The sequence below is a fragment of the Homo sapiens genome, chromosome 2 (assembly GCF_000001405.40).
Source record: "Homo sapiens chromosome 2, GRCh38.p14 Primary Assembly".
NCBI classification, from domain to species: Eukaryota; Metazoa; Chordata; class Mammalia; order Primates; family Hominidae; genus Homo; species Homo sapiens.
The window spans coordinates 127,929,843-127,956,443 of record NC_000002.12 but is presented as its reverse complement, the minus strand read 5'-3'; the positions used below and the strand labels follow the sequence as shown (position 1 = coordinate 127,956,443).

The following is a 26,601-nucleotide window of genomic DNA, read 5'->3' as shown; positions in this document are numbered from 1 at the left end:
AAATGCAAGCCCCAGGTGGTTTTACTTGTTCTTCTGACCAGCTAGTTCCCATGCATAAGTTTGATTAATTTGCTAGAACAGCACACAGAACTCAGGAAAACACTTTACGTACACTAACCTATTTTCATAAAGGCTATTACAGAGGATGCAGATGACCAACCAAATGGAACAGAAGCATAAGGCCTGGGAGAAGGGACATGAAGCTTCCATGGCCTCTCCAGGCACGCCTGCCCTCCAGGAATTTCCACGTGCTAGCTATCCCAGAAGCTCCTGAACCCAGTCTTTTAGAGTTTTTATGGAAATTCCATTTATACAGGAATGGTTGATTAGGCATTGGCCATTAGTAATCAGCTCAACCTCAGTCCCTCTCAATTACAACTGTAGCTAAAGAGAAAGAAAAGAAAAAAAAACAGAAAAATAACAACTCCAAAGACAACATATATATTAAGGAATTCTGGGAGAAAAGATACATTAATATTATGAAAATTGGTTGTGCTATGACGATATGACTTTGAGTTCTTTAAAGTGTTATTTTCTTAGTTAATTTTATTACTGCTTATAAAAACTTGGGAGCAGGACATACAGTATATCTTTAAAACCTGATTTCCATTTAAAATTGCTTTGTTAAACTTTAAAGTCAAGGAATAGAGTATTAGAGCTGGGTGTGGTGGCTCACACCTGTAATCCCATCACTTTGGGAGGCCGAGGCAGGCGGATCACTTGAGTTCAGGAGTTGGAGATCAGCCTGGGCAACATGGTGAAACCCCATCTCCACAAAAAAATACAAAAATTAGCCTGGCATGGTGGCACACACCTGTAGTCTCAGCTACTCGGGAGGATGAGGTGGGAGAATCCCTCGAGCCCAGAAGACAGAGGTTGCGGTGAGCCAAGATCACGCCACTTCACTCCAGCATGGGTAACAGAGTGAGACCCTGTCTCAAAATTTTTTTAAAATTAAAAATTTAAAAAAAGGAAATAGAGTATAAATTGTGCAGTGTGCTGGACAGAAATAATTGGACAAATACTCATCCTCTGAGATGTTGTAGATGAAGGCAGTTTTTTTCTTATTTGCTACATGTGCTTTTCTTTTGTGTTTTAGTGCCAAACCCAAGTCTGAAATCCACGTGTCTATGGCCACTCCGGTCACTGTGTCCATGGAGACTGTATCCAATCAAAATAATGATCAGCCTACCATTGCCGTCCCTCCAACTGCCCAGCAGCCCCCACCGACCATTCCAACTATGATTGCAGCAGCCAGTCCCCCGTCACAACCAGCCGTTGCCCTTTCAACCATTCCTGGAGCGGTCCCCATCACTCCACCCATCACCACCATTGCAGCTGCACCACCTCCATCAGTCACTGTGGGTGGCAGTCTTTCCTCCGTCTTGGGCCCTCCCGTTCCTGAAATTAAAGTGAAAGAAGAAGTAGAACCAATGGATATCATGAGGCCAGTTTCTGGTAAGTCCGTCCATAGAATACTCTCCATTGGCAATTGCCTCTTCCCCTTCCCTAATTCTCCTCCAGCATCCAGATTCTTCTGTAACCCTCAGCCAAGACTCCCTGATAACCCATTTTAGATGTTGCATGTCATTAGTTTTTGATAAGTAGAAGAAAGCAGTAAACTCATTGTGAAAAGTAAAACTACTTTGCTTCCCTTTTGTAATAAAGTTTAATTTCTGGCCAAAATCATGAAAGAGATTAATATTTCCCCATGGATATCCTTCAACATAGTTTCCTTCCATGCCTAGTAGTATTAAGAAAGTAGTATTAAGAAAATACTACTATGTAAAAGGAGGCACAATATGGCTTTAGTACTATTTATTCCAAGTTTCATTGCCTTGTTATACAATCAAGTAAGATTTGTGTTGCTGAAAAACCTATATGTGATTAGTAAAATCTTAAAACAATTCATTTCTCCCTTTACCACTTCATCTTAACTCCAAACTTCCGGTTTGAGAAAGTCAAGTCACTTGAGAGGTTTTCTTTCTTTTTTTTTTTTAATAATTTATGTGGAATTTTGTTTTTCCTACAAAAGTAACATATTCAGTATACAAACTGTGTGAAGTATAAACAAATCCAAAGAAGAAAGCAAGTTATTTGTGCTCTGGTACCCAGTATTACCTGCTATTTCAGTGAGAAGTCCTCCATTTCTTTCTCATGCTGTTTGCCCGATAGAGGTGTGATTGTGCTGTGTCTGTAGTTTTTTTAATCTACTGTTTATTTATTCATCTGTTTATTCTGCCATGAAATCTCTTTCTGTGGGTATATTTACCCTTGGCACTTTCTTCAAAAGATACCATGAGTAATCCAGAAGGGAAAAATGAAGCACCCTCAGTTATGCTACTCACCTGCTCTTTTTCGCTGGTTCCCTTTACCTCTCTGTGCTAGGAAACTGCCTGTAATCCTACCTCAACCTATAGGAGTCTATTCCAGGAATTGTTCTGGGCACTGACGATGCAACTTTGTGTAAGACAAATGCAGCTTTATCCTCTTAGGTCTTACATTCTAGCAAGGGAGACAAAAGCAAAAAGATGACTAAATTATATATGTATGTATGTATGTATATATATGTTTGGGTGATAAGTTCTATGGAGAAACAAAGCAGGGACAAAATATAAGGAAAGCTGTAGCCAGGGCTGGAATGTGTGTAAAGAGTTTTAGGAGAAAGCCTCACTGAGGAAGTGACCATTGAGTAGAGACATTAAAGAAATGAAGTTCCTGGCCATGAGGATATCCGGGGAAAGGGTATTCCAGGCCAGAGAGCAGTAAGTACAAAAATCTTGAGATAGGAGCATGCGTGATGTGCTCAAAATATAGCAAAGAACCAAAGGTCGCTGGAGCTAAGTAATAAGGGGAGTGGCAGGCAGCAGGATCAGATCATGGTAGAACAGGGCCCACAGGCTGTTGTAAAGGTTTTGGCTTTGCTGGGGTTGGCAGGGAGCTGTTGGAGCAGAGCAGGGAGTGTGAGCAGAGCAGTGCCAAGCACTCACTTAGGACTGAAGATAAACACTCTGGCTGCTGGGGAAAGAACAGACTCTGGGAACAGGGATGGAATCGGGGAGACCTGTCAAGCGGCTGTTGCATTAATTGCCAGGAGCAATGAAGGCTCAACCAGGGTAGTAGTAGCGGAAGTGGTGTGAGGTGGTAGGATTCTGTTTATGTTTTTAAGGTAGAGCTAAGAGTGTGTAATGATTGGATGTTGAGTGTGAGAGAACAGTATCTGGGACAATTTCCAAGATTTTTGGCCTTAGCAACTGGAAGCCATAGAGTTGCCATTGGCTGAATTAGGAAAGCCTGCAGGAGGACCATGTTTTGTAGGGAAAGATTAGGAGTTTAGTTTTTGATAGGGTAAGTTTCAGATGTCTGTTAGACATTTCAAATGTAGACATCAAATAAATAGTTGGATCTATGAGGCTGGCTTTTGGAATAGAAAATGAAGTTGCAGATACAAATTTGGGAGTTGTCATTATATATATAAATTGTATTTAAAGTCATGAGCCTGGATGAGTCGTTCACATCACCTAGGGAATGAATGTTGATAAAGACAGAAGCAGTCCATGATCTAGTCTTAGGATGGTGTTGTGCTATCATGAGATGGGGGAGGAAGTAAAGTCCAGCAAAGGAGGCTGAATGGAGGGAACACAGGGTAGGAATATCACTTATAGTATGTGGTGTCCTGGAAGTTGCAAGAACAAAAATATTTCAGAGAGGAGACAATGATCAGGTGGATCACATGCTCTTGAGAGATCAAGGAAGATGAGGTCTGAGCAGTGACCTTTGGATTTGGCAAACAGAAGTCACAGAGGTCTTGAGAAAAGCAGTTTTTCTGTAATGATGGGGTAAAAGCATGACTGGGGGCAAGTTCAGGAGAAAGCCAGGAGAGATAGAGACATTATATATAAACAGCACGTTTGAGGCATTTGTTCTAAAGGAAGAGAAAAAAGGTGTTTGAAGTGACATGATGTCAAGAAGATTTTTTTTTTTTTTTTTTTTAAGATGGAGTTGTGCTCTTTTGCCCAGGCTAGAGTGCAGTGGCGTGATCTTGGCTCACTGCAACCTCTGCCTTCTGGTTTCAAGCAATTCTCCTGCCTCAGCCTCCTGAGTAGCGGGGATTACAAGCACCTGCCACCACACCCAGCCAATTTTTATATTTTTAGTAGAGATGGGGTTTCACCATGTTGGCCAGGCTGGTCTCGAACTCCTGATCTTATGATCTGCCCGCCTCAGCCTCCCAAAGTGCTAGGGTTATGTGAGCCACCACACCTGGCCAAGAAGAAGATTTTTTTAAGATGGGACAAATAAGAGTTTTGTATGTTAATAGGAATGATCCAGTAGAGTGAGAAGAATTGATGATGCAGGAGAAAGTTGTGAATTCCTGGAGCACTGTTTGAGGAGGCGAGAGTGGGTGGGATTTGTGTGTAGCTGAAGAGTTTGGCCTTTGCTGAAAGCATGGAGAGAAGGAGAATATAGGGACACAGTGGAGATGGGGAGATAAGGTGGTGGGACTTGATGAACATGTTCTTGTGATTGCATCTATCTTTTTCAGTAAAATAGAAAGCAAGGCCATCCACTGAGAGTACAGATGGTGGAGGAGGCATCGAGTGTTTGAGGGAGAAGAAGGTGTGAAGTAGTCATCCCAAGAGAGACTGGACTTAACAGATAGGGTTGTCCAAGTGAGGCCAGTCAGCATGGTAGTGTGTCTCCCTCTGGCGACATTCAGTTGCGTAGGTGCAGACTGGTTGGAGAACAGGATTTAACCTCTTGGCCTTTTGCTAAATGAGCACAGTAAAGCAAGAAAAGGAAGGGACAATGAAGGAAGAAAAGGAATACAGTGATTATAGGGTTCAGACCTAGCGATGGGGGAGGATAGACATGAGAGGGATGAGTGACTGCAGGAACATGGTCGGATGAACAGGTTCCTTGTAGGCCTAAGAAGTGCTGGAGGCTGAGTACCGAGGGGAGGAACCTAGAAAGGGAGTTGGATTTACCTAGGGAGTTGGATGCTAGAAATTCAGATTGGGTGTGAGGCAGTTTCTATTTAATGGTGACAGGAAAGTTTAGGGTATGACTGTTGGGAGTGGGCAGCAGAGTGGGTAGAGGAAAATAGGGCAAGTATGTGGTAGAGTGAAAATAAGAGTTAAGGTGAGCCCTTAACATGATTTTTAAATTCCTAGATGTATGATTCATACAAGCTCAAGCAAATGTTTACGTCCTCACAACACATGCTTTTTATCTGGAGGTAGCACACTGCGGTCGGTGAGAGTGCAAGCTCTGAAGCCAGACTGCCTCTGTCAATCCCAGCTTGCCCACTTCATACTTGTGTGACTTGTGCCATATTTTCTCATCTGTGAATTGGAGGATAATAATAATGCCTACTTATTCAGATGATTTTTACGATAATGAGTTAATAGGTTACCTGCTAGGCATTTATGTTTAAAAAGTGTGAAAAATAGTAGCTTAACTCATAAGGTCCTGTTATCTCCTTTGGAGCAAGTCCTGAGGCAAACAGTTCAGGGATGGTGTGTGGACTTCATCAAATTATTAGAAAGCCAGGCTCCTTCCACCTCTTTGCTCCACCACCCCTAGGATTTGACCTTCATGCTCTTAATTCAGGACAGCTGCTGATGCTGCAGCCATCTCGTCTGAGTTCCAGGATCACAGAAAGAAGACAAGGAGATCACACCTGCTCTCTCTCTCCCTCCTGGAAATTTGCTAAAAGTGCTACAAAACACTTCTACTTCCATCTTAGATGACCACACCTGTAATGGAGGCTAGGAAGTACATTCTTTAGCTGAATATCATTGTGTCCTTGTCAAAGGACGTCCTGGACCTAAGGAAGATGAAGATATGGGCTATAAGGGAGGAGTTTGCAGCTTCTGCCACAGAGTGCTTAGCACAGTGCCAGACACATAGGAAGACAATAAATGTTGGTGCTCTGTGCTGTCTTCTTAATCATCTTTGTTGGAAGGAAGGAAGTGAAACTTTCTGTTATCTTTGAGTTCTTACAGATATGTGTGCTCCTTTTCCTATGACAGCAGTTCCTCCACTGGCTACCAACACTGTGTCTCCATCTCTTGCATTGCTGGCAAACAACTTGTCCATGCCTACAAGTGACCTACCACCTGGTGCCTCCCCAAGGAAAAAGCCTCGAAAGCAACAGCATGTGATCTCAACAGAAGAAGGTGACATGATGGAGACAAACAGCACTGATGATGAGAAGTCCACTGCCAAGAGTCTTCTGGTGAAGGCTGAGAAGCGCAAGTCTCCTCCCAAGGAGTATATTGGTAATGGTCACAGGCTGACTTGTGTTATGATGCTTCCCAATAAAGTCAGAGTCCAACCCAGAGGCTCGTTACATAGTCAGCCTCACTCGTACCTCACTTACTGGAAATGAACTTTGAGGATTGTTGACAGTGTTACTAAGTTGTTTAATGTCTTCTCTTTAACAGATGAGGAAGGTGTGAGATATGTCCCAGTGCGTCCAAGACCCCCCATTACTTTGCTTCGTCACTATCGGAACCCCTGGAAAGCTGCTTACCACCACTTTCAGAGGTACAGTGACGTCCGGGTCAAAGGTTAGTTTCCCCAGAAACACTTGATATTAATGCATGAAATTGGTGTAAACTTAATTAAAATAGAAGAGAAAAACAGAACCACAATTTTCCGGTTTCAAAAAAACCATAAGTTTTTGTTACAAAATCTTGAGGCTTTAGTGTTTAAGTATATCCTGTAGAATATAAAACCTAGAAAATTACCCTTTGCCCTAGCAAGCTGTGTGTATTTATTGGAATTGCAGTTTAATGGTTAAGTGACAGCCTTGGTTTTTGTAAAACCCACATGTTAACAGCTCCCAAAGTACTGATAGAGGATACCTGTGGCTTCCAGAGTCATTGTGGAAGAGCTGTACTGGGTTACTGTGTAACACAGTTCTCAGTCCACAGTAGTTCCTAAGATGCTAAAAATACGCATGCATTGTAAGCATTTCTGCCAAAAGATCTTTTGTTTAACAAATATGCAACGCTCTTGGAGTGGTCTAAGGTAAGCCCTCAATGAATGTTCTGTTGTTCTGGTGGAACCTGAGAATAACATTTTAATAAACCCACATATGATTGAAAATGCTGATAGTACTTTGCAAATACCTGCAAATATTTCTACGGATGGACTTTAAGTGCCATTAATCTCAAATATAATATATGTACAAAGAAATGTGAGCCTCTAGATAATTGGTCACATTTCCCATTCTCTTACATAAATCCCATTTGGAAACTGCTCTAAGGGTTTTCTTGAAGGCTCAAGATGAGTCTAACTTGGATGGAGTACTGACTAAGTAAGCAGAGGTGGACATGCTAACAGTTCAGTTTCTGAATGGAATTACAGAGGCGGCTACATTTCCCAGCTTTTCTTCCTCACAAGTGTACTCTGAGGTTTGGAAAGAGGGTGAGATTTCCAGAGGTCAAGGAGTGTTGCCTTTTAGTGGAAGTAGGATATGAACCACTAAACATCTCTTCATGCCACAAGAATTCCATAGAAAAAATATTTAGGAATTTGCCTGGTAGCATTTCAAGCCACACTACAAGAGTCTAAATGCTTATTGGGACTCGCTCTTCAAAAACTATCTCAAGAAAGATAACTTGACAGCTGAAAGGTTTATGATCCCTAAATCTTCTGTTTCAATATATTCATACTAACCTCCTTTACACAGTGCCTCTTGACTATGAAACTTTAGTGCAGCTATTTTGCCTCACCTATAAAATAACATAAATTATATATAAATACATCAAGATAGACTAAAACTCACAGGAGGCCAGGCGCGGTGATTCACGCCTGTAATCCCAGCACTTTGTGAGGCCGAGGCGGGCGGATCACTGGAGGTCAGGAGTTCAAAATCAGCCTGGCCAACATGGTAAAACCCTGTCTCTACTAAAAACACAAAAAAATTAGCCAGGCATGATGGCGGGTGCCTGTAATCCCAGCTACTCAGGAGGCTGAGGCAGGAGAATCTCTTGAACCCGGGAGGCAAAGGTTGCAGTGAGCCAAGATCGCACCACCGCTACCACACTCCATCCTGGGTGACCGAGCAAGACTCTGTCTCAAAAAAAAAAAAAAAAAAAAAAACTCACAGGAAAGAAAAGAGAAACAAAAAAGAAGTACAGAAAACACATAGTAATGTGGCAGACCTAAGCCTTACATACTAGTTATTGTCATAAATGTAAATAGTCTAAACATACCAATTAAACACAGATTGGCAGAATCAGTGAAAAAACACAGTCCAACTATGTGCTGTGTACAAGAAACTCACTTTGAATGCAGTGGCATAGGTAGATTGACAGTAAAAGACTGGAAAAATACATACAAGCCAGGTGTGGTGACTCACGCCTGTAATCCCAGCACTTTGGGAGGCCAAGATGGCTGGATCACCTGAGGTCAGGAGTTCAAGACCAGCTTGGCCAACATGGTGAAACCTCGTCCCTACTGAAAATATAAAAATTAGCCAGGCATGGTGGTACACACCTGTAATTTCAACTATTCAGGAGGCTGAGGCAGGAGAATTGCATGAATCCCCGGGAAGTGGAGGTTTGCAGTAAGCCGAGATCATGCTACTGCTCTTCAGCCTAGGTGACAGAGTGAGACTCCGTCTCAAAACACACACACACACACACACACACACACACACACACAGACACACACAATACAAAATTAATTCACACAATATGAAATTAATTTACAGAAAAGCAGGAGTGGCTATATTAATGTCACATAGAGTAAAATTCTGAGGAAAGAAAATTGCTAGAGACACAGAGGGATATTACATACTGATAAGATAATCGGCTGACCAGGTAATGATCCATTTCTCTGCAGTGTCTTTTAAAATATAGGCAAGGACATTCCAAATTTATTTTATGAAGCCAATATTTTCATGCTATCAACACCAGACAGAGTGTACAAATATAGAAAATGACAGATCAATATTCCTCATGAATATAGATGTAAAAATGCATTAATAAAATATTAGCAAATCAGATCCAGCAGTATATACCTTGACCAAGTAGAATTTTTTCTTGCTGTGCAAAGCTGGTTCAACATTTGAAAACCAAAGTAATCCACCATATTAACTGGCCTTATTAATTTCCTAGGGTTGCCATAACAAAGTACTGTGAACTGGGTGGCATAAAACAGTACAAATTATTCTCATGGTTCTGGGGGCTAGAAGTCCAGAATAAAGGTCTGATAGGATCATGTTCTCTGTGAAAGCAGTAGAGGAGAATCCTTCCTTGTCTCTTTGGTTTCTTGTGATTGCCAGCGATCTTTGGTGTTCCTGGCTTGCACCTGCACCACTCCAGTCCCTGCCTCCATCTTCAAATGGCATTCTTCTCTGTGTCTCTCTGCCTCTCCCATCCTCCTTTCTCTCTCTCTCTCCTTCTCTCCCCTTCCTTTTCTCTCTCTCTCTCTACTTCTCTGTCTCCCTCCCTCCTTGTATGGACACCAGTCATTGGATTTACAGCTCACCTTAATCTAGTATGACTTCTTAACCAAATTACCTTTTTTGTTTGTTTTTTCTTGTGACGGAGTCTCGCTCTGTCCCCCAGGCTGCAGTACAATGGTGCGATCTTAGCTCACTGCAACCTCCGCCTCCTGGGTTCAAGCAATTCTCCTGCCTCAGCCTCCTGAGTAGCTGGGATTATAGGCGCCCACCACCACACCCCGCTAATTTTTTGTATTTTTAGTAGAGACAGGGTTTCACCATGTTGGCCAGGCTGGTCTCGAACTCCTGACCTCAAGTGATCCACCTGCCTCGGCCTCCCAAAGTGCTGGGATTACAGGTGTGAGCCACTGCGGTCAGACTACATTACATTCTAATATAGTTATAGTCACAGGTACCAAGGATCTTCAACATGTCTTTGGGGGGAAAACCATTCAACCCACAACAAAAGCTAAAGAAGAAAAATCACATGATTGTATCAATCAATATAGAAAATTTGACAAAATTAAACACCTTTTCATGATAAACAGTGTTCAAAAACAGAAAAAGAAGGGTTCTTCCTTGATTTGATAAAGTTGTTCTGCCCTTGGAAAGGCTCCCCCAGCTGTCTTATGCTTTGTTCTTTCCTTCAAACCAGCCTGCACATAGTCTAGGCTATATCTTCATTAGTTCACAAATCTCCCCCAATTCCCTTTGCCACAGCCTCCACTGTTATGGGGAGCACCTTTAGGTTTGAACTTCTTCACACTCTTGCAAATGGACTCACTTCCTTCAGGAAGAAATTAGAAGGTATCTGTTTTACAGCCCACTTCTTCCGGCAAAATGTTTGAACCAGGGCCTTAGAGATGGGGGAGGCCCTGGCTTGACACGTGGCAAGCTTCTCTCTGAGTGACAGCCCTGCTTTAGGAGGTAGCACTTAGTGGAGGTAAAGGAGGGGAGTAAGCAGCCTGGTGTCCTCTTGGCTTGCCTCTCCTAGATGAAACCATTACCTCAAATAAAAAAGTTCTTATGGCCAGGTACGGCAGCTCATGCCTATAATCCCAACACTTTGGGAGGCCATGGCAGGCAAATTGCTTGAGCCCAGGAGTTCAAGACCAACCTGGGCAACATAGCAAGACCTCATCTCTACAAAAAATACAAAAGTGAGCCCAGCATGATGGCGCACACCTGTAGTCCCAGCTACTTGGGAGGCCGAAGTGGGAGAATCATTTGAGCCTAGGAGGCAGGGGTTGCAGTGACCTGAGATTGTACCACTGCACTTCAGCCTGGGTGACAGAGCCAGACACTGTCTCAAAAAAAAAATAAAATTCTTGTTAAAATAATGGCATTTACACTGCTCGAACACAAATCATTTACCTTTTTAAACACTGAAATACATGTATTTTTATTTTTTATGGTTCCAGAGGAGAAGAAAGCTATGCTGCAGGAAATAGCTAATCAGAAAGGAGTATCCTGTCGTGCTCAAGGCTGGAAAGTCCACCTCTGTGCTGCCCAGTTACTACAGCTGGTAGGTGGAGTTCTAGCAGTTGTTCATCATGCTGAAGAGAGGAGAAGACACTGCAGATAGCTGAGTTCATAGAACTTTTTAAAAGTAACTCTGAAGCATTCCCAGCTAACATGGGTTATGATAGAATTTTTATGTGTGCTATGTAATATCACACTGTGTCAGTTACATGTGATTAAAATTGAAATATATCTAAGTTCTGGTATCCAGATCCAAAATATATGGAACAACTGTGGTGTAAGACCTAAATTTAAGATTCAGTGTTATGTGATATTGTGACATCTGAAATAGGGGGAGCCTCAAACGGCCTAACCGAGAGTCCCTCCTCCCAACTCTGCTCCCTCAGATGAAGTCTCCTAGGCAAACAACCCTTCATACCACAGGGACCAGGCACACAATTCCTGCTCCTTGCTGAGTAGTAGGCTCCAGTTCCCTGCCAGCTTCCAGTATTCCAATTTCCAATGTTACTCAGATAAGCCAGTCACACACATCATCATTCAGAGACCGGGGCATACCTCTCCCTCTCTCCTGTTCTTTTTTTTTTTTTTTTTTTTTTTGAGACAAGGTCTTGCTCTGTTACCCAGGTTGGAGTGCAGTGGCACGACCATGGCTTACTACAGCCATGATCAACCTGCTGGGCTTAAGTTAATCCTCTCACCTCAGCACCCCCAAACAGCTGGGACTGCAGGTGTGAGCCACTGCACACAGCTGATTTTTTAAAATTTTTTGTAGAGGCCAGGCACGGTGGCTCACATCTGTAATCCCAGCACTTTGGGAGGCCGAGGTGGACAGATCACGAGGTCAGGAGTTCGAGACCATGGCCAACATGGTGAAACCCCTGTCTCTACTAAAAATACAAAAATAAGCTGGGCGTGGTGGCAGGCGCCTGTAATGCCAGCTACTCGGGAGGCTGAGGTAGGAGAATTGCTTGAAACCAGAAGGTGGAGGTTGCAGTGAGCAGAGATCATGCCACTGCACTCAAGCCTGGGCGAAAGAGCAAAACTCCCTCTCGGGGAAAAAAAAAATTGTAGAGACAGGGTCTCACTATGTTGCCCAGGCTGTACTGTGTCTTAATTTTTAACAAGTATAAAAAGTTAAAATTTTTTTTTAATAGAACATAAGGGGCCAGGTTCAGTGGCTCAGGCCTGTGATCCCAGTACTTTGGAAGGCTGGGGCAAGAGGATTGCTTGGGCCCAGGAGTTTGAGGCCCACCTGGACAACATAGTGGGACCCTGTCTCTACAAAAAAAAGTGTTTTAATTAGCCGGGTGTAGTGGTGCACACCCCCTAGTCCCAGCTACCTGGGAAGCTGAGGTGGGAGGAACTCTTGAGCCCGGAAGACCAAGGCTGCCCTTAGCCATGATCGCACCACTGCACTCCATCCTGGATAACAGAGTAAGACACTCTCAAAAAAAAGGAAGAAAACAAAGTTTATAGAATAAAGATACAAAGAAAGAAAATATTTTTTGTAACCGCCCAACAGTATCCACATTTGTCCAACAATATGTGTTTTAAGCTAAGTTTTATTGCAAAGGAGTCAAAAAGTTTAAAACAATTTAAAAGTTTATAAAGTAAAAAGAGTATGCTACGGTTAATTTGTTATTGAAGAAAGAAGAATATTTTTAATAGATTTAGTGTAGCCTAAGGGCACAGTGCTTATAAAGCCTACAGTAGTGTACAGTGATGTCTTAGACCTTCACATTCACTCCCTGCTCACCCACTGACTCACACAGAGCAACTTAACAGTCCTGGTAGACTGCATTCATGTAAGTGCTCTTTACCATTTTTAATCTGTCATGCCGTATTTTTGCTGTACCTTTTCTATGTATAGATACGTTTAGATACACAAATACTTAACACTGTGTTTCAGTTTCCCGCACTATTCCTTGCAGTAACATGGTGTACATGTTTGTAGCCTAGGAGCAGTAGGCTCTATCATATAGTCTAAATATGTGGTAGTTCATAACATCTAGGTTTGTGTAAGTACATTCTGTGATGGTCACACAACAATAAAATTTCCTAAAGACATTTCTCAGAACGTATCCCTGTCATTAAGCAGAGCATGACTGTATTTGTGACTCATAAACTGCTGTTAATCTTATCCATCCAGTGTTGGATCTTATATGTTTGGCCATTTCTATAACCCTAGGGCAAGAATCCCTCCTTCACCAGCAGGTGAAGAGGAGGCAACAACCTCATAAAGTTTTTCCTCTTCAGTAGCAGTGACCTGAAGAACATTGTCTGTTGTCAGTATCTAAAAAAATGTAGTGCCTTGGCTACTTCTGACTTAGCAGAAATCACTTCTATGAAACTTGGAGACTTGTGTTTCAGAAGAATTGTGGATTCAAGGCAGTATTCAAAAGTTATCCTTGAAGATAGGCTCTGAACTATGGCAAATTATAATGTAAATCTTTGTTGATCAGTTTCCTTTACTGTTTTTATTTTATTTATTTATTTATTTATTTATTTTTTAGATGGAATTTCGCTCTTGTTGCCCAGGCTGGAGTGCAATGGCGGGATCTCAGCTCACTGCAACCTCTGCCTCCCGGGTTCAAGCGATTCTCCTGCCTCAGCCTCCCGAGTAACTGGGATTGCAGGCATGCGCCACCACGCCCAGCTAATTTTGTATTTTTAATAGAGATGGCGTTTCACCTTGTTGGTCAGGCTGGTCTCAAACTCTGGACCTCAGGTGATCCACCCGCCTCGACCTCCCAAAGTGCTGGGATTATAGGCGTGAGCCACCGCGCCCAGCCCCTTTACTGTTTTTAAACCTTAGTATCTTAGTCCTTAGGAGAAAGGACGTTGTCACCCAAACAACTCTTAGACAGTTTACAAAGGTGATTGAAGGTGGGTTCATTTGCCTGGGGTTGACATAGAAAAATATTTCCGAGCTTATGATACCCTCCCTTTTGTGTGTTGCAGACGAATCTAGAACATGATGTCTATGAAAGACTTACTAACCTGCAGGAAGGGATTATCCCAAAGAAAAAAGCAGCAACAGATGATGATCTCCACCGAATAAACGAACTGATACAGGTTTGAGTGCGCCCCTTCCCTTCTGATCATCTACTTTATGAAGTTGCTTTCTGTAAAGCCCTACTTCTCCCGTTTCCCCCCGTCTCCCTCATATCTTCAGTAAAAACATACGTGCTTCAGCCTGCACTCCTGAGAAACAAAAAGACATTTTCTCTGTTGTGGAAGCCTCAACATGGCCTCTGCCCAAAGGCAAGCAGTTTTTTAAAAGCTGTACTATCCTCATGGTCACTGATTGATGATGCAATGTCTTCTGTTTCAGGGAAATATGCAGAGGTGTAAACTTGTGATGGATCAAATCAGTGAAGCCAGAGACTCCATGCTTAAGGTTTTAGATCATAAAGACCGTGTCCTGAAGCTGCTTAACAAGAACGGGACTGTCAAAAAAGTGTCCAAATTGAAGCGAAAGGAAAAAGTCTAGACCCAGAACAATCAGGAGATTGGAAGCAAATTTATGAAGAATGATGGTGGGGGTGGGGGGAGGGTTTTGGTTTTTTCCAAAGTGGAACATTGAAATAAAGGAAGTGTTCCTTAGTTCCCGTGTGAAAGCAGAGGAACCCATGACATCCAAGGGCGTGAAAGGATCAGAGCTGACTGGACATAGTGAGCTGCCTTCTTGCGTTCGGGTGCACCCCTGTTAAACCTGATCTGTGTCATAAGTGACTCCGGATGCATCAGTGTCCACCAGTTGGAAGCAATGACAAGGATGGCTGGCTGGTGTTTTTCAGCCTTCCGGTTTATAGACTGTATTTATCTAGTGGATTCCTGCAGGCCCCATACTGAGCCTGGACTGAAAGTATCCACTCGGACCATCTGTTATCTCTCTACACTGAAAATAAAACCTCTTCCACCCACCCCATTCGGTTCTTCTGCCTGACCTTCAAATGCCCATGTTGGCCTTTTACAGCAGTGCCACGGCACCAAGCGAGCTGCCACATCTCACACTCTAAAGGGTTTGAACTATTAGTTCTTGTCATTTTTTAAAAAAAACCATTCCCAAGTGAAATTGTTATATCGTCTGTCTTGCGTGTGTCAGAACTGGGTTTTTGTGGAGGTTCAGAGCAGGCAACACCATAAGTTGCTCTCAGATCCTTGTTCTGAAGTACATTCTTGGTTATCTGTACTTCTGTAGCTGGTGTGATGCTGTTAATTGTATGTACCACACATCTCCAGACGTTAATAAAGGACTCAAAGAGGTTTTTGTACTTGCGCAGTTTGCATCTTTTTGTAAAGTGAATCAGTGCCATACTGACCCTCACTGAAATGTTTACCCTGCTTCAGTTTTTCACACATTGTTGGGAGCCTACTTTGTTTGTTGAAGTTATGCTGTTCGCATAGAGTTCCTCTTAGAGGGTAGTCTAAATATGCTACAGTGGTGAAACCTGTTGGATCTTGGCTCCCTTAAATACGAGCCTGTATTGTGGCCCAGTGCGGATAAAAATTGGTCCGATTACAGGACTATTAAGGCTGCAGTACTGGGGGCGGAGCTTTCGGGCGGGTGGATCCTCTCCACACATTGCTCTTCGTCTGAACTAACCTGAGTGGAAAGGCAGCTCAGATCGGCTTCCTTTGGGCACAAGACCAACCGTCTCCATCTGGCCTCCATGTAACAGACCAGGAAAGATTTTTCTCAGAGGCTTCTGCCTCTGCAGACACGACGTGACCACCCTCCTTCCTTAGGACACCTGCTTTCAGCTACCAGGTTGGGGCTAGAGTGCTTCCCTTTGCTCTGAGTTGAACAGATTTGAGATGGGCCGTGTTCCATTTCTACCCATGCCTTTGGGACCAATGCCCTGGCTCACCTGAGACAGCCTTCCTCATAGTAGAATGGTAAGCTGTCATCTGTGGGATTGGGAAGACCACCCAGGCCTGCAGAGCCTAGGCTAAAGACAGCCTGGGCGCAATCGAGGCTGCTTGACTAGAGTATTCGATGAGGATATGGAGAAAACTTGAGAAGGTTTTACTAGGTGCCAATCTAGCATAACTCCTAGAATAGTGTTCCTTTGCTGCAGTTTCTCATCAGTACACACATTGCCTTAGTGGTCACATGTGGTCTTTGGTTAGAGCAGGAAAGGATTCAGGTATGTGGGATCCTATATTATAGACATAATTCTCTATGGCTTTTTTTTTGTTTGTTTTGTTTTGTTTTGAGACTGGATCTCACTCTATCACCCAGGCTGGAGTGCAGTGGCTCAATCGTGGTTCACTGCAGCCTCCAACTCCTGGGCTCAAGCGATTTTTCTGCCTCAGTCTCTTGAGTATCTGGGACTACCAGTGCTTGCCACCATACCCAGCTATTTTTTTTTTTATTTTTCTTTTTAAGAGATGGGATCTCACTGTGTTGCTCAGGCTAGAGATTACTTTTTTGAAGAAAGCTTGTCAGTACAAGCCTCGAAGTCAGTGCAGGTAAGAAAATAGTGTTTTCAGGATTTCTTCCCCTTATGAGGACAATGCAGTCAGAAGTTAGAGGCAAAGGGGATGATTCTTGCCTACAAACAATGGTTTTTGAATATAGTTTTATTGGCTGGGCGCAGTGGCTCACACCTGTAATCCCAGCACTTTGGGATGCCAAGGCAGGCAGATCACTTGAGCTCAGGAGTTCAAGACCAGCCTGGCCAACATGGTGAAACCCCGTCTCTACTAAAAAAAATAAAAATTAGCCAGGTGTGGTGGCGCATGCCTGTAGTCCCAGCTACTTGGGAGGCTGAGGCAGGAGAATCACTTGTACCTGGTAGGCAGAGGCTGCAGTGAGCCAAGATCACACCACTGCACTCCAGCGTGGGTGACAGAGTGAGACCCTGTCTAAAAACAAACAAAAATACAGTTTTATTAAAGAGGAATAGTGGCCCACGCCTGTAATCTGAACACTTTGGAAGGCCGAAGCAGGAAGATCTCTTGAGCCCAGGGGTTCGAGGCCAGCCTAGGTAACATAGTGAGACCCCACTTCTACAAGAAAACATTTAAAAAGAAAATGGCTTGTAATATTTTTATGTCTTCATAACGAGTGATTTTTTTTTTTTTTTGAGATGGTCTTGGTGTCACTCAGGCTGGAATACAGTGAGGCGAACACAGCTCACTACAACCTCAACCTCCCAAGTGCAAGCAATCTTCCTGCCTTAGTTTCCTGAGCAGCTGGGACTACAGGTGCACGCCACCGTGCCTAGCTAGTTTTTTAATTTTTTGTAGAGGCGGGATCTCACTATGTTGCCCAGGCCAGTCTCAAACTCCTGACCTCAAGCAGTCCTCCTGCCTCAGCCTCCCAAAGTGCTGGGATTACAGGCGTGAGCCACTGCACCTGACCTACTGATTTTGTCATAGTAATAATAGAGAGTCATACAATTACAGGATTGAATATTTATTTACAGATTATGTAGTCCAACCCAACCAATGATGAAATGGACTCCTTAAAAACAATTTTTTTTCTTTTTACATTATAAAATACCACACATCCAAAAGCCTAGTACATGAAGCAAATGTATAGATTCATCAATTCTTAAGAACAACTTTCAAATCACCCCCATGGTAAGAAATAGAAACTTGTCAGTCATCTCCAGAAGCTTCGCCACTGCCACATGTAATCACAGCCCTCCAGTGCCCCACTAACTTTTCCAAATAATCATTTTTATTGTAGTACAGAGTCGAATGCTCAAATCCTAATAAGATTTGTCAAAATCTTGTGTTTTGACAAATATATACACCCATCGCCAACACCCAAATAAAGACACATGACATTTCTATAATCCCAAAGGAGCACCTCTTTGTAGTCAGTACCCCTCTGCCTCAGCCCGCCCCCCACAAAAAAAGGTAAATACTCATCTACCACCTGTTAACACAGATTAGTTTTGTCTGTTCGTTAACTTCATTTAATAGATTCATGCAGTACACACTTGTGTTTGGCTTATTTTGCTCAACATAATTTGAGCTTCATCCATTTGTCATGAGTATCAGTATGTTGTTTCTCTTGCTGAGTGGTATTCTGTGTGAGGATGCAACAGTTTGTCCACTTCCCTATTGAAGGACCCATTGGTTTGCTTTCCATTTTTGGCTATTATGAATAAAGCTGCTATAAACATTTGTGTGCAGGTTTTTATGTGTAAATCACTTTTCAGATCGTTTGGGTAAAAACCTAGGAGTGTGATTGCTGGGTTGTAAGGTGAAAAACTGTTTAGTTTTGTAAGGAACTGCAAAACTGTCCTCTAATAGGGGTGTATCATTTTACATTGCAACCAGCAATGAATGAGAGTTCCTGTATTCGGTGTTGTCAGTGCTTTTTGGATTTTAGTCTTTCTAATAGGTGTGTAGTGGTATTTCATTTTCATTTGCAGTTCCCTGGTGATATATGATGTTGAGCATTTTCATGTGTTCATTTGCCTTCTTTAGTATCCTCTCAGGTGAAATATCTATTCACATCTTTGCCTTTTTTATTATTATTATTATTTTGAATTGAGACAGGGTCTTGTTCTGTTTCCCAGGCTGGAGTGCAGTGGCATGATCACAGATCACTGTAACCTCAACCTCCCGGGCTCAAGCAAACCTCCCACCTCAGTCTCCCGAGTAGCTGAGACTTCAGGCATGTGCCACCACACCCAGCTCATTTTTGTATTTTTTGTAGAGATGGGGTCTCACTATGTTGCCCAAGCTGGTCTCAAACTCATGGGCTCAAGGAATCTCCTATCTCAGCCTCTCAGCCTCCCAAAGTGCTGGGATTACAGCACTGTGCCTGGCCAGTAGTACCTTTTGAAGAACAGAAGTTTTTAATTTTAGTAAAATACAACTTTTTAATTTTTTCTTTCATGAATTGTGCCTTGGACATTATATCTAAAGATATTGCTAAACCTAAGGCACCTAGGTTTTCTCCTGTTTTCTATGAATTTTATATTTTTATGTTTTATATTTAGGTTTATGACCCATTTTGAGTTGATTTTTATGAAAGATGTAAGGTCTGTCAAGGACTTTTTGTTTTTGTTTTTGTTTTTGTTTGAGACAAGGTCTTGCTTTCTCACCCAGGCTGGAGTGCAGTGGCATGATCATGGCTCACTGCAGCCTCAATCTTCTGGACCTAAGCGATCCTCCCACCTCAGCCTCCAAAGTGTCTGGGACTACAGGCGCATGCCACCATGTCCAGCTAATTTTTGTATTTTTTTAGAGATAGCATTTCACCATGTCGTCCAGGCTGGTCCTAAACTCCTGAGCTCAAACAATCCACCCTCCTCTGCCTCCCAAAGTGTTGGGATTACAGGCGTGAGCCACTGCGCCCAGCCAGGGTTTTTGTGTTTTGTTTTGTCATATGAATATCCAGTTGTGTTCCAGCACCATTTGTTGAAAAGCCTCTCCTTGCTCCATTGAAATCCTAGTAAGATTTCTCTTTGAAGCCTTTGCTAATAAGCCTTGGCTCCCTTGTCAGAGATCAATTGACTGTATTTGTGCGGCTTTCTCTTCTGTTCCATGGATCCACTTCCTTGATGAATAGCACATTAGTGTAGTTTTATAGGGAGTCCTAAAGTTGGGCAATGTCGGTTCTTCATCTTTGTTCTTCATTCTTGTGTTGGCTATTCAGGTCTTTTGTCTTTTCCTATAAATTATAGACTGTTGACATCTACAGAATAGTTTGCTGAGACTTTGATTAGCTTTATGTAGACTTTGTAGATCAAGTTGGAAATAATTGATAACAGTGTTGTGTGTTCTAATCCACAAATATGAACTATCCCTTCATTTATCTATATATTTGATTTCTTTCACTAGAGTTTTCGCAGTTTTCCTCGTATACATCCTATATGTATTTCACTAAGATTTGTAAGTGTTTGATTTTTTTGGTACTATTGTAAATGGCACTATGTTTTCAGTTTCAAATTCCAGTTGCTCACTGGTGGTATATAGAAAAAGCAATTGACTTTTTTTTTTTTTTTTTTTTTTTTTTGAGACAGAGCCTCACTCTGTCACCCAGGCTCCTGACCTCAGGTGATCCGTCCGCTTTGGCCTCCCAAAGTGCTTGGATTATAGGCATGAGCCACTGTGCCCGGCCGGAATTGTTTTCTTAATTGTTTTCTTAATTTCATATTTGGTGTACTCATTGGTACTACAAAACCAATGAGTATACAATAGAAATACAATTGATTTTTTTTTTTTTTACATTTTTGGCCAGGCACAGTGGCTCATGCAGACTCCATCTCAAAAAAAAAAATTTAAACAGCTTTATTGAGATACAATTCATATATCATGCAACTTACCCATTGTAAGTATACAGTTCAAAGATTTTTGATACATTAAATTACTAATTTTTAAAACTATTAATATATGTAACATAAAATTTGCCATTTTAACGGTACAATTCAGTGGCAATCATTATACTCACCATGTTGTGCAACATTACCATTATCTAATTCTAAGAGTTTTTCATTACTCCTTTGTAACCAATAAGCCCCTGGTAATCTCTAATCGACTTTATTTTTACAAATTTGCCTGTTCTAGATACCTTGTATAACTAGAATTGTACAATATATGTTCTTCTGTGTTGGGCTTATTTCATGTAGCAGATGGTTTTCAGGGTCCATCCATGTTGTAGCACACATCAGGACTTCATTCCTTTTAAAATCTGAATAATATTCCATTGTAAGTATATATCACTGTATATATCACTTTTTTAATTAATTTATGTGTTGATGGATACTTGGTTGTTTCTACCTTTTGGCTGTTTTAAGTAATACTGCAGTGAACACTGGCATACAAGCGTCTGTTTAAGTGGCTAATTCCTTTGGATCTATATCTGTGAATGGAATTGCTGTATCATATGATAATTCTGTGGATAGCCACCAAACTATTTTTTATAGTAGCTGCAACATTTTAAATTCTTTTATTTATTTATTTATTTATTTATTTATTTATTTATTTAAGACAGAGTCTCACTCTATCGCCCAGGCTAGAGTGCAGCGTTACAATCTTGGCTCACTGCAGTCTCAACCTCCTGGGATCAAGTGATCCCCCCAACTCAGCTTCCCAAGTAGCTGGGACCACAGGCACGTGCCACCACGCCCGGCTAACTTTTGTACTTTTTGTAAAGACAGGGTTTTGCCATGTTACCCAGGCTGGTCTCGAACTCCTGGGCTCAGGCGATCACCTGCCTCAGCCTCCTGAAGTGCTGGGATTACAGGCATGAGCCACTGCGCCCAGCCCCATTTTACATTCTTAAGTATTCTTTTGAAGCTATTATAAATGGAATTGTTTCTAAAAATTTGCTTTCAGGCCAGGCATGGTGGCTTACACCTGTAGTCTCAGCACTTTGGGAAGCCAAGGCGGGTGGATCACCTGAGGTCAGGAGTTCGAGACCAGCCTAGCCAACATGGCAAAACCCCTTCTCTACTAAAAATACAAAAATTAGGTGGGGGAGTGTGGTGGTACACACCTGTAATCCCAGCTATTTGGGAGGCTGAGGCAGGAGAATCACTTGAACCTGGGAGGTGGAGGTTGCAGTGAGCTGAGATCGCACCACTCCACTCCAGCCTGAGCAACAGAACAAGACTCTGTCTCCAAAAATAAAATAAATAAAATTTACTTTCAGACTATTTATTGCAAAAGTATAAAAATACAACTGCTTTTTGGGAGTTAATTTGTATCCTGCAGGTTTGCTGAATTTTCAAATTATCTCTAATAGTTTTTGTGGAGTTGTTAGGTTTTTCTACAAATAAGATCATCAAAAAAAGATTCTGTCATCTGCAAACAGTGATAACTTTATTTTGTTTTCTAATTTAGATGCATTTTCTTGTTCTTACCTAATTGTTCTTCTTAGAACATCCACTACTACATTGAATAGAAGAGGTGAAAGTGGGCTGGGTGTGGTGGCTTACACCTGTAATCCCAGCACTTTGGGAGGCTGAGGCGGGTGGATCACTGAAGTCAGGAGTTCAAGACCAGCCTTGCCAATGTGGCAAAACCTTGTCTCTACAAAAGTACAAAAATTAGCTGGGCGTGGTGGCACTTGCCTGTAATCCCAGCTACTCAGGAGGCTGAGGCAGGAGAATCACTTGAAACCAGGAGGCAGAGGTTGCAGTGAGCAGAGATCATGCCACTGCACTCCAGCCTGAGCGACAGAGTGAGACTCTAAGAGAAGAGGTGAAAGTGGGCACCATTGCTTTGATCCTGACCTTAGAGGGAAAGCATTCAGTCTTTCACCATTGATTATTATGTTAGTTGTAAATTTTTCTCATATTGGCTTTATCATGTTTAGGAAGTTTCTTGCTATTCCTGGTTCATTGAGTATTTTTATAATAAAAGGAGGTTAAATTTTTTCAAATCTGCATCATTTGAGATGATCATATAGTTTTTTTTTTTGTTTTTTTTTTTACTTGTTTGTTTTAATCATCTAGCTTAAAATGTCATTATATGGTTTTATTCCTTCCTTCTATTAATATGATATATTACATTAACTTTAGTATGTTGAACCATCCTTGCTTTCTAAGGATAAATCCCACTCAGTCATGGTGTATAATCTGTTTTACATGCCACTGAATTTAGTTTACTAGTATTTACTGAGTATTTTTATGTATATTCATAAAGGATATTAGTCTATATCTCTCTTGTACTTTTGTCTAATCTGAGCATCAGGGTAATACTGGACTTGTAGGGTGATATAGAAAGTGTTCCCTTTTCCCTAGTATGTTGGAAGTGTTTGTGAGTAATTGTTGTAGAATTATTATAATTTATCAGAGAAGCCATTTGGTTGCGTTTATTTGTTGAGAGGTTTTTTGTTATTGATTCAATTTCCTTAATAGTTCTAGGTCTATAGTTATGTATCCCTCAATGACAGGGATACATTCTGAGAAATGTGTTATTGGTCAATTTCATTGTTGTGCAAACATCACAGGTTGTACTTACACCAACTTAGGCTATATGGCATAGACTATTGCTCCTAGGCTACAAACCAGTACAGCATGTTACTGTACTGAATACTGTAGGCAGTGGTAACATAATGGTAAGTATTTGTGTATCTAAGCATATCTAAACATAAGAAAGGTACAGTAAAAATATGGTGTAAAAGATTTTTAAATGGTACTTGTATATAGGGCACTCTCCACGAATGGAGCTTGCAGAACTAGAAACTGCTTTGGTGAGTGAGGGATGAGTGAATGTGAAGGCCTAGGACATTACTCTACACTACTGTGGGCTTTATAAACACTGTACACTTAGGCTACACTAAATTAATTTACAAATTTTTTCTGACCAGACACAAGTGGCTCACGCCTGTAATCCCAGCACTTTGGGAGGCAAGGCAGGTGGATCCCTTGAGCTCAGGAGTTCAAGACCAGCCTGGTCAACATGGCGAAACCTCGTCTCTACTAAAAATACAAAAAATTAACCGGGCATGATGGTGCGTGCCTGTAGTCCCAGCTGCTTGGGAGGCTAAGGTGGGAAGATTGCTTGAGCCTGGGAGGTCGAGGCTGCAGTGAGCTGTGATCACACCACTGCACTCCAGCCTGGGTGACAGAGTGAGACCCTGTTTCAAAAAACATAACAAATATACTCTAAAACAATGATTAAAAGTATAGTGTAGTAAATACATAAACCAATAACATAGTTGTTTATTATCATCAAGTATTATGTACTGTACTTAATTGTATGTGCTATGCTTTTATGATTGACAGTGCAGTAGATTTGTTTACACAAGCATCACCACAGACACGTGAGTAATGCGTTGCTCAACAATGGCTACGATATTACCAGGCAATAGGAATTTTGCAGCTCCATTAAAGCTTATGGGACCACAGTCATTTATGAGGTCTGACTCGCCCAAAACGTCATTATGTGGCAGATGACTGTTTGCAGATTTTCTATTTCTTTTTTCTTTTGTGTGCAACTATTTCATTTTAATTACTCCTATTAAAAGATTGTTTATTTTGGAGGGCTGCAAGGCATTTTATTATCCACTCTTTTCTTAAAAGTTTCCATGGGTCTGGTAAATTCACATTATTCCCATGATGATGTTTCAGAGTGACTCCAGGAATGTCAGGAGATTTCATCATCAAGCACTTGGTTACCTTTCTAGTGTTGAAACCGTAGCACATTGCAACTTGCAGAAATAGATGGGCAAATAGATGGGCTGCAATGAGCTGCGATTGTGCCACTGAGCCTCCTGAGTAGCTGCTCTACAAGCACATGCCACCATGCCCAGCTAATTTTTTAATTTTCTATAGAAATGGGGTCTTGCTTTCTTGCTCAGGCTGGTTTTGAACTCCTGTCCTGGACTCCCAAAGTACTACGATTTCAGGTGTGAGCCAGTGCACCTGGCCTTTTTTTTTTTTTTTTTTTTTTGGAAATTTCAGAATTTTATGATATGTAGAGAGGGTGAGTTGTTACACTTTTACGCCTTGCGGGTTTAAATTCCTTTTTTTTTTTTTGAAATGGAGTCTTGCTCTTGTTGCCCAGGCTGGAGTGCAGTGGTGTGATCTCAGCTCACTGCAACCTCCGCCTCCCAGGTTCAAGTGATTATCCTGCCTCAGCCTCCCAAGTAGCTGGGATCACCATCACGCCCGGCTGATTTTTGTATTTTTAGTAGAAACAGGGTTTCTCTATGTTGGCCAGGCTGGTCTCGAACTCCTCACCTCAGGCGATCCACCCACCTCAGCCTCCCAAAGTGCTGGGATTATAGGCCTGAGCCACCATGCCCAGCCTAAATTATTCTTATAGAAAAACTTTCTTTTCTTTCTTTCTTTCTTTGTATATATTCAAGGAATAAAAACGCAGTTCTGCTACACTGTAATATATTGTGTTGTGGTGAAGACAGGGCCCTCAGTGCATCCATCCTTGGAGCAACACACACTGTACCTACTAAGCAAGTCATCCATCTCCCGCTCAAGTCTTGCAGCATTGAAGTGGCAAAATACTCGCCATTCCAGGACTGTAATTGTCACTTGAAGATGTTCTCTGGGACCTCTTCACATTGCTTTTATATCATGAACAATAAAAATCACTGCCATACCTGGCAAAGCTGAATTCCCCACACCATCTGTCAAAGAAGCCTGTCCAAACACAAAATTCCAGGTGTCTCTTGGGTTAAGATCAATCATTGTTATCCCTGCAACATAGAATGCATCTTTAGGTTTCCTTTTTGTTTTTTTCACTTCAGAATGTGCCCTACATGAATTTCCAGGTTTGGTACATTATCACCGACTCTGAAAGAACACCTCATTGCAGAAATAGGAGCTGGTTCCGGGAGTTGTACTGTCAAGCTATAGAATAACGCTTCGTAGTGGCCCATGAACCATTGAACATATTCTACACTGATAATTCTGGTATTTCCTAGAGATCCAATACATACCAATGGACTATACATAAATACTGCATTTCTCTGGGGCATTTCTCCTGTAAGGATCATAGAAAACTGTTCAATCTTCAGAAGCCTTCCTCTCAAGCTGACTGAAAATGTAGGCTAGTGAGTCCAAAGTGATCACTGTCTGGTTGGAAGCCTGCTTTCATAGAACAGTCTTCCCCAGTATCTGAGCTCTGATACTGGGATATACATGCTGTGTTCTTTGGCATGAGAACAGTCTTTAGCATGTTTACAGAAGGAGATTATCACTGAATGTTTCACTTTACAAAGACATGCATGTCTGCGCCTGGCCCTGTTGTATGAGATGCCTTCACCCCCAACAGCCCTCGACACTGCCAGCTTGCCTTCCATGGGACCCCCGCCTGCATTCATTTCTTGAGTCAGTTTGGGTAGATTGTGTGTTTCTAGAATTTATTTATTTCATCTAATTAGGCGTCTTAAGTTGTGCCTAGGTTGGGTTATCTAATTTGTGGGTTTGTAACTATTCATAACATTCTCTTATGGTCTTTTCCATTTCTATAAAATTGGTAGTAGTATCTCTACTTTCATTTTCTAATTTCAGTAATAATTTTTCTTTTTTTATTTCCCCTTTCGAGAATGAAAGATTTTAGTAATTTGTCTCCTCCCTTTTTTCCTAGTCAAGATTTGTCAGTTTTGTTGATCTTTTTAAGAATCAACTTTTAGTTTCATTGATTTTCTCTATTGAGTTTTGATTCTGTACTTAATCTATGCCCTACCACTATGATTCCTTCTTTCTCCATTAGTTTGCTTCTACTAGTTCCATAGGTGTAGAATTAGTTTATTGATTGGAGATATTTCTTCTTTTTCAACATATACATTTACAGCTATAAGTTCCTCTTAGCACTGCTATGTTGTGTTTTGTTTTTATTCGTCTCAAAATACTTTTTAATTTCCCTTGTGATTTCTTCTTTTACCCACTGGTTGTTTAAGACTTTAATTTCCACATATTTGTGAATTTTCTGGTTTTCCTGGTGTTATTCATTTCTAGTTTTATTCCATTGTAATTGGAAAAGATGTTGTGTATACTGTTAGTCTTTTTCCCCTTCTGTCTCTCTCTTTTTCTTTTGAGACATTCTCATTCTGTCGCCAAGGCTAGAGTGCAGTGGCACAATCGCAGCTCACTGCAACCTCTGCCTCCAGGGTTAAAGCAAAATCATGCCTCAGCCTCCCAAGTAGCTGGGATTACAGGTATGTGTCACCATGCCTGGCTGATTTTTGTATTTTTAGTAGAGACACGGTTTCA

At 41.6% G+C, this 26,601-nt stretch overlaps 1 protein-coding gene and 1 pseudogene across 20 annotated transcripts in view; one reads left to right on the top strand and one right to left on the bottom strand.

Moving 5' to 3' along the window:
• The window catches only part of SAP130 (Sin3A associated protein 130), an 86,838-nt gene extending 71,616 nt beyond the window's left edge, over window positions 1–15,222 (top strand). For all 20 annotated transcript variants that reach the window (XM_047445826.1, XM_047445825.1, NM_001330299.2 and 17 more), the window contains 6 exons: window positions 1,100–1,458; window positions 6,036–6,284; window positions 6,450–6,575; window positions 10,885–10,988; window positions 13,907–14,020; window positions 14,280–15,222. In XM_047445826.1, the coding sequence (XP_047301782.1) occupies window positions 1,100–1,458; window positions 6,036–6,284; window positions 6,450–6,575; window positions 10,885–10,988; window positions 13,907–14,020; window positions 14,280–14,438 (1,111 nt within the window). In that variant the 3' untranslated portion in view covers window positions 14,439–15,222. The remainder of the gene's footprint in view (window positions 1–1,099; window positions 1,459–6,035; window positions 6,285–6,449; window positions 6,576–10,884; window positions 10,989–13,906; window positions 14,021–14,279) is intronic.
• On the bottom strand, window positions 24,857–25,573 carry LOC100288192 (archaelysin family metallopeptidase 2 pseudogene; annotated as a pseudogene).